At 48.5% G+C, this 8,679-nt stretch overlaps 1 pseudogene; it reads left to right on the top strand.

Moving 5' to 3' along the window:
* SNRPEP4 (SNRPE pseudogene 4) lies at positions 1,762 to 2,227 on the top strand (annotated as a pseudogene).

Raw genomic sequence — 8,679 nt, 5'->3', positions numbered from 1 at the left:
TATAAGTGGGGTGTGCTGGGTCACTGGAGATGCCTGGCTTGCTTATTGACGAAGCCTCAGGCTCTGGAGGTGGGGGAAGCCGTGGGGGAGGGAAGGGGAGAAAAAAGAGGGATGGAGAGATAAAGACACCGAGACACAGAAAAAGAGAGATTCAGGGAGAAGAGAGACAGAGACTGAGACACAGAGTGAAACAGACGCACACACACAGGGACGCAAATAGACAAAAGCAGAAACAGATGAACCCAGGACCTGCACAGATGTGGATCTGCACTTGGGGCAGCCGGGCCCTCTACTCCATGTGCCCACTAGGTGGCGCCCAAGAGCCACGCTCTGCAACGCAGCCGACCCGGTTGGGCCCCTCCTGCCGCGGAAGCCCCCATCTCTCTGCCCGCCCAGCGTTTCCCCCACGGGCCCAACACCACCTTTGTGGGAGGCCCTGGAGGCGCAGGTGGAGGCTGGAATGGGGGCTTCCTCAAGGGTCGAGGGTCTCCAGAGCCTCCCAACCCGGCCCCCGGTAGGCGAAGGCCCTGGTTGTGTCTGTGCTTCTCTTAGAGTGAGTTTGTATTGGTCTCAGGAGTGGACGTGCCTGCTTCTGTCTTGGGGTGTGGATCTGGTGAATCTCCGTGTGTGAGGCTTAAGGCCGTGTGTCTCTCTGTGTGCATCTGTGTTTGTCATGGGGCGTGTGTCCGTGTGTGTCTGTGTTTGCTCTGGGGGGCATGTGTCTCTGCGCATGTGACTACGTGTCTCATTTTTCTCTTGCTACATATCATGGCTGTATTTGCCTTGGGTGTGTCTGTGTCTCTGTGTGACTGACTTCTCCTCATGCTGTGTACATTTTGGTGTATCCGGGCTGGCGAGTGACTTGATGTGTGCCTCATGTCTCCGCCCCCCTTGGAAAGCTGCCTCTCCCGCCCCTGCTCACCTTTCCTGGCGGCTCTGTATAGAGTCACCAAAGAATTCAAGAACTGAAATATTTATGAAGTGCTTCCTGGGGTCCCCTGGAGAGACAGGAGCGACTGTTCATGGAGCTGTGTGTCTGTGGGTCTGACCAAACGAGATTTAGATCCTGCTCAAACTAAGCACCTACTATGTGCCAGGCCTTGGCTCGGGTACTGCCTTCATGCTATGCATTCAGTTTCCTCATCTGTAAAATGGGCCTGATATTCGGCCGGGCGCGGTGGCTCATGCCTGTAATCCCAGCACTTTGGGAGGCCGAGGCGGGCGGATCACAAGGTCAGGAGATCGAGATCATCCTGGCTAATACGGTGAAACCCCGTCTCTACTAAAAATACAAAAAATTAGGGCCGGGCGCGGTGGCTCACGCCTATAATCCCAGCACTCTGGGAGGCCGAGGCGGGCGGATCACGAGGTCAGGAGATCGAGACCATCCTGGCTAACACGGTGAAACCCTGTCTCTGCTAAAAGTACAAAAAATTAGGGCCAGGCGCGGTAGCTCACGCCTGTAATCTCAGCACTCTGGGAGGCCAAGGCAGGCAGATCACGAGGTCAGGAGATTGAGACCATCCTGGCTAACATGGTGAAACCCCGTCTCTGCTAAAAAAAAATAGCTGGGCGTGGTGGCGGGCGCCTGTAGTCCCAGCTACTTGGGGGGCTGAGGCAGGAGAATGGCCTGAACCCGGGAGGCGGAGCCTGCAGCGAGCCGAGATCGCGCCACTGCACTCCAGCCTGGGCAACAGAGTGAGACTCTGTCTCAAAAAACAAAACAAAACAAAATAAATTATAAAAAAAAAAAAAAAATGGGTGAAATTCCACCATGGCGTACCGTGGCCAGGGCCAGAAAGTGCAGAAGGTTATGGTGCAGCCCATCAGCCTCATCTTCAGATACTTACAAAATAGATCGCGGATTCAGGTGTGGCTCTATGAGCAAGTGAATATGCGGATAGAAGGCTGTATCATTGGTTTTGATGAGTATATGAACCTTGTATTAGATGATGCAGAAGAGATTCATTCTAAAACAAAGTCAAGAAAACAACTGGGTCGGATCATGCTAAAAGGAGGTAATATTACTCTGCTGCAAAGTGTCTCCAACTAGAAATGATCAATGAAGTGAGAAATTGTTGAGAAGGATACAGTTTGTTTTTAGATGTCCTTTGTCCAATGTGAAGATTTATTCATATTGTTTTGATTACCGTTGTGTTACTACAAGATGGCAATAAATACTATGGGATTGTTTGTGTTAAAAAAAATGGGCTTGATATTAGCATCTATCTCATAGCATTGCTATGAGGTGAGTTGAGGTTTATAAAACCTTGAACACTCCTGGAGCATGCTAAAGACTCAATGTGATAAATTATCTCAGGCTGGGTGTGATGGCTCACGCCTGGAATCCCAGCACTTTGAGAGGCCAAGGTGGGCAGATTAGTTTTGAGCCCAGGAGTTCGAGACCAGTCTGGGCAACATGGCAAAACCCTGTCTCTACAAAATAATAATTATAATAATAATAACAATAACAACAATAATAATAATAATACAATAATTAGCCACGCGGGATGGTGTGCACCTATAGTCCCAGCTACTCGGGAGGCTGAGGTGGGAGGATCACTTGAGCCCAGGAGGCGGAGGTTGCAGTGAGCTGAGATCACGCCGCTCTGCTCCAGCCTGGGTGACACAGAGCCAGACCTTCCCTCAAAGAAAAAAAAAAAAAAGGAAAAATCACCTCATTTAATTCTAATAACTACAAGCACATCTATTAACCTATGGGTCAGTGGGGAGCCCCTGAGAATTCTTCACTCACTGCTAAGAACTTGAGGGTTGTCAAAAAGGCCTAAATAGATTGGATGCTTGGACGTCTGTCTGCATAAAAACTTTCCTTTTAGCTCAGCTCAGCGGTTCTCAAACTTCAGAAAACTGAGTAGACGGGATCATGCTGGGTATAAAAATCAGGGGCATGAGTTGTTTCAGACATTGGGAACTCAGCGGTGAATAGAACAGACAAAATAGCCGTTGGGGAGTTTCTGTTCTGATGGGGAAAAGATAATAAATGAGGTTGTCACTCAACAAATGTGAGTCATTATGGTTATTTTCCATCAAAGACTTTCAATATACTTTGCCATTTCGCCCTCCAGAAAGATGGGACTTGGTACTAACTTATCCCAGCAATGTATGCAAGTGCTCACTGCCTTGTACCTTCACAAAAACTATTATTGGATCTTTTTGTCAAATATTAGAGTGGTGAAATTCTTTTTTTTTTTTTGAGACGGAGTTCACTCTTGTTGCCCAGGCTGGAGTGCAATGGCACAATCTCGGCTCACCGCAACCTCCACCTCCCAGGTTCAAGCACTTCTCTTGCCTCAGCCTCCCGAGTAGGTGGGATTACAGGCATGCGCCACCATGCCCGGCTAATTTTGTATTTTTAGTAGAGACAGGGTTTCTCCATATTGGTCAGGTTGGTCTCGAACTCCCGACCTCAGGTGATCCACCCGTCTCAGCCTCCCAAAGTGCTGGGATTACAGGCATGAGCCACCGTGCCCAGCAGTGAAATTCTTTTTTCAAGTCTTTTACAATTTCCCACCTATGTCTTTTGTGTGTCCAAAGTGTATGCACGTTCTTTGCACATGTTGCTTTATTTTTATTGATTTCTAACAACTCTTTATATATGAGGAATGCTACTTTGTTTAAACATGTTGGTGGCAGATAGCCTTTGTTTCTAATAGAATGAGGCTAGAAAAACACAACTTGCCAATAGGGACCACCATAAACCTTCATTTGCCCAACAAACATCCTGCGTGTGAATCAATCAATCCCTTCCTTCCTTCCTTCCTTCCTTCCTTCCTTCCTTCCTTCCTTCCTTCCCTCCCTCCCTCCCTCCTTCCTTTCTTTTCTCCCTCCCTCCTTCTTTCCTTCCTCTCCTCCCTTCCTCCCCCCTCTCTTCCTTCCTTCCTTTAGATGGAGTTTTGCTCTTGTCGCCCAGGCTGGAGTGCAGTGGTACAATCTTGGCTCACTGCAACCTGCGCCTCCTAGGTTCAAGTGATTCTCCTGCCTTAGCCTCCAGAGTAGCTGGGATTACAGGCACCCGCCACCACAACCGGGATTACAGGTGTGTGCCTGTAGTCCCAGCTACTCAGGAGGCTGAGGTGGGAGGATCGCTTGAGCCTGGGAGGTTGAGGCTGCAGTGAGCCATGGTCATGCCACTGTACTCCAGCCTGGGCAACAGAGTAAGATCCTGTTTCATAAAGTAAAATAAGATAAAATAAAATAATAGCATAGGCCAGCCGGGCACAGTGGCTCAATGCCTGTAATTCCAGCACTTTGGGAGGCCGAGGCGGGTGGATCACGAGATCAGGAGATCAAGACCATCCTGGCCAACATGGTGAAACCCCGTCTCTACTAAAAATACAAAAAATTAGCTGGGCATGGTGGCGGGCGCCTGTAGTCCCAGCTACTCGGGAGGCTGAGGCAGGACAATGGCGTGAACCCGGGAGGCGGAGCTTGCAGTGAGCCAAGATCGTGCCACTGTACTCCAGCCTGGGCAACAGAGCAAGACTCTGTCTCAAAAAAATAAATAAATAAATAAAAATAAATAATAATAATAATATAGGCCAGAATGCCTGTTCATCAGAGGCTGGGCAGCAGGGAGAAGTGTGGGTTGGGGGGGGCTGCATATTCCACCAATCCTGTAGGCAAATAGGGAAGGAGGGTGGGTGCCAGGCCCACTTGCCCCCATCTGTAACATATCCACTGCCCTTAGCATTGCCACATTCTGGAATTATAGATACTTTGCCTCTTGTAATGTAGAAGAGATTTCTTTCTTTCTTTTTTTTTTTTTTTTTCGAGAGAGGGTCTTGCTCTGTTGCCCAGGCTGGAGTGCAGTGGTGCAATCATAGCTCACTGCAGCCTCCAACTCCTGGTCTCAGGTGATCCACTTGCCTCAGTCTCCTGAGTAGCTGGGACTACGGGGGCGCACACCACCACGCCCAGCTAATTTTAAAATTCTGGCCGGGCATGGTGGCTCATACCTGTAATCCCAGCACTTTGGGAGACTGAGGCAGGCGGATCACTTAAGATCAGGAGTTCGAGACCAGCCTGGCTAACATGGTGAAACCCCGTGTCTACTAAAAATATAAAAATTAGCCTGGCGTGGTGGCGCATGCCTCTAACCTCAGCTACTCAGGAGGCAGGAGAATCGCTTGAACCTGGGAGGTGGAGGTTGCAGTGAGCTGAGTTCGTGCCTAGGTGAAAAGACACTCCAGCCTACGTGAAAGAGTGAGACTCCGTCTCAAAAAAAAAAAAAAAAATTGTAGAGTCAGGGCCTTGCTATGTGGCTTAGGCTAGTCTTAAAATCCTGGCCTCAAGCGATCCTCCTGCCTCGGCCTCCCAAAGTGCTGGGATTACAGGCAAGAGCCACCATGCCCGGACTCTGGCCCATTTTAAAAAGCCTATTCCTCTTGCTTCCTGCTGAACTTTATTAAAACTTACTACTGCAGCTTTTTCTCCCCTAAGACAGCCAGAGGGGATGTATGGTGATTACCGCTCAGAGCCCCCACCCACCCACTAGAGAGCTCTGAGATTCCACATTGTTCAGGAGGACTGAACACCAGCTGTTCTAAGATCCTAAGTGTCTACATGTTCAGTGATCCCACGATTCTGAGCCTCCAGACTCCAGAGCTCAGGGATTCTCTGAGCTCATCACTGTCTGCCTGGGTCTTCCATAATTGCCCGCAACAGATAATACAGTGTCTCGAGGCAAAAACCATGATCCCTCTAATCCACAGACCCAGGCACAGGGGCCGGTCGCCCACAGCCACCGAGCTTTTCCTAACAGCTTAATGAGAAAGTCAGAATTAACTGGAAGTGGCACCTAGCACTCCCAGGGCTCAGCGTGGCCTCCCCGTGTTAAAGCCGAGTGTCCCCAGGCCTCCCTTTGACCTTCTTGGACACCAGCAATTATGATGGGCGAGGCCTGGAATTCAGCCTGAATAGGGAAGTGGCTGGGGCCATGGTGACCTAGTTCTTCAGGTTAAGCCAGCCCGCCCACCTTCCCCGGAGAGTGACCAGCCCAGCCTGGGTTCTCATTCTGCCACTACTCCTCTCCGGGCCTCAGTTTCCCTCCTTTGTTCAAGGAGGTCAGGGATCATGCCAGCCTCCTACTTTGCTGTGTTACATGTAAATTTCTTGGCACATGTATTATGTTATCATCTCTCTTTGTGCACACGGATACCTTCCCAGAAAGGACACTGCTGGCTTATACCTTTTTCAAATAGCTATTGTCAGAGAGCTTACACCATTTCACACTCTGAACCCCAGCAGCATGAGGCTGCTCTTTTCCCAAAACCCTGAAAACACAGCAAATGCTCAGACTTTTTCATCTTTACCAGCCAGACAGATGAAAAGAAGAAAAAGATATTTCATGGTAGTTTTTTTTTATATTTAGGTTACCATGAGCGAGAATGAACTCCCTTGCCTATGCCCAGAAGACGTTTGTATTTCCTTTTCAGAAAACCGTTCATGTGTGGTGGCTTATGCTTGTAATCCCAGCACTTTGGGAGGCTGAGGTGGGAGGATTGCTTGAATCCCAGGAGTTCGAGACCAGCCTGGGCAACATGGCGAAACCCTGTCTCTACTAAAAATACTGAAAATTAGCCGGGAGGGGTGGTACACAGTTTCAGTGAGCCAAGATTGTGTCACTGCATTCCAGTGTGGGAAACAGCAAGACCCTGTTTGCTCAAAAACAAAAACAAAACAACAACAACAAAAATCCATTCATGTCTTTCACCCTTTTTTGGACTGGCTTGTTAATCCATATTGATTTCTAGATGCTTTTTACATATTAAGGATATCAGTCTCTTGTCTATCATGTTTTGGAAGATTTTCCCCCTTGATGTTGCCTCTTCATCTTCTAGTATTTTTTATTTGTTTGTTTTGTTTTTCTTTTTTCTTTTTTTTTTTGAGATGGAGTTTCCCTCTTGTTGCCCAGGCTGGAGTGCAATGGTGCGATGTTGGCTCACCGCAACCACTGCCTCCTGGGTTCAAATGATTCTCCTGCCTCAGCCTCCCAAGTAGCTGGCATTACAGGCATGCACCACCACACCCAGCTAATTTTGAATTTTTAGTAGAGACAGGGTTTCTCCATGTTGGCCAGGCTGGTCTCGAACTCCCTACCTCAGGGGATCCGCCTGCCTCAGCCTCCCAAAGTGCTGGGATTACAGGCGTGAGCCACCGTGCCCGGCCTGTTTTGTTTTTCTTAAGACAGTCTCTCACTCTGTCACCCAGGCTGGAGTGCAGTGGTGCAATCTTGGCTCACTGCAACTGTGTACTCCACAGTTGCCATTGTACTCCACCCTGGGCATTGTACTTCAACCTCCTGGGTTGAAGCCATTCTCCTGCCTCAGCCTCCCAAGTAGCTGGAATTATAGGCACCCACCACCACACCTGGCTAATTTTTGTATTTTTAGTAGAGACAGGGTTTCACCATGTTGGCCAGGCTGGTCTCGATCTCCTGACCCCAGGTGATCCACCCACCTTGGCCTCCCAAAGTGCTGAGATTACAGGAGTGAGCCACTGTGCCCAGTCTCTCACCCCTTTTTCAATTTGCTTGTTAATCCTTATTGATTTCCAGATGCTCTTTACATATTAAGAAAATCAGTCTTTTGTCTGTCGTGTTTTGGAAAACTTTCTTCCTTGATGTTGCCTTTTGATCTTCTAGTATTTTTTTAATGTGCATATGTGTGTAGGAATTTTATATTTGTAGTCAGTTATTAATCTTTTAATTAAAGGTTTCTGGGTTTAATATGCTTTAACACAGTTAAGATTAATTTTATTTTTATATTTTTTTGAGACGGAGTATCACTCTGTCACACAGGCTGGAGTGCAATGGTGTGGTCTCGGCTCACTGCCAGCTCCACCTCCCGGGTTCAAGTGATTCTCCCGCCTCAGCCTCTTGAGTAGCTGGGATTACAGGCATGCACCACCACACCTGGCTAATTTTTGTATTTTTAGTAGAGACGGGGTTTCACCATGTTGGCCAGGCTGGTCTCGAACTCCTGACCTCTTGATTTGCCCGCCTCAGCCTCCCAAAGTGCTGGGATTACAGGCATGAGCCACCGCGCCTGGCCCAGATTATTTTTATTTTTAACTCCTGTGTTTTCTCCTAATATTTGTATAGTTTATTTCGCTGGGGGCAAGGGTTGAAGGGGCCATCTGGAATTTAATTTGGTTTGAGTTATCTTTAAAATCTCCATCTGAAAAAAAAAAAAAAAAGGCTGGACGTGGTGGCTCACGCCTGTAATCCCAGCAATTTGGGAGGCCAAGGCAGGCAGATCACTTGAGGTCAGGAGTTTGAGACCACCCTGGCTAACATGGTGAAACCCTGTCTCTACTAAAAATACAAAAATTAGCCTGGCGTGGTGGCGCACGCCTGTAATTCCAGCTACTCAGGAGGCTGAGGCGGGAGAATCGCTTGAACCCAGGAGGCGGAGGCTGCAGTGAGCCGAGATATTGCCACTGCACTCCAGCCTGAGTGACAGAGTGAGACTCCATCTCAAAAATAGTAATAATAATAATAAAAACTAGAAACCTCCATCTGAACTCTCATGGTTGTGTAAGAGTGATGTTTGTGGGCTGGGCGAGGTGGCTCCCACCTGTAATCCCAGCACTTTGGGATGCCAAGGCGGGTGGATCACCTGAGATCGGGAGTTCAAGACCAGCCTGACTAACATGGAG

The sequence above is a fragment of the Homo sapiens genome, chromosome 19 (assembly GCF_000001405.40).
Source record: "Homo sapiens chromosome 19, GRCh38.p14 Primary Assembly".
NCBI classification, from domain to species: domain Eukaryota; kingdom Metazoa; phylum Chordata; class Mammalia; order Primates; family Hominidae; genus Homo; species Homo sapiens.
This window is presented reverse-complemented; position numbering and strand designations above follow the sequence as displayed.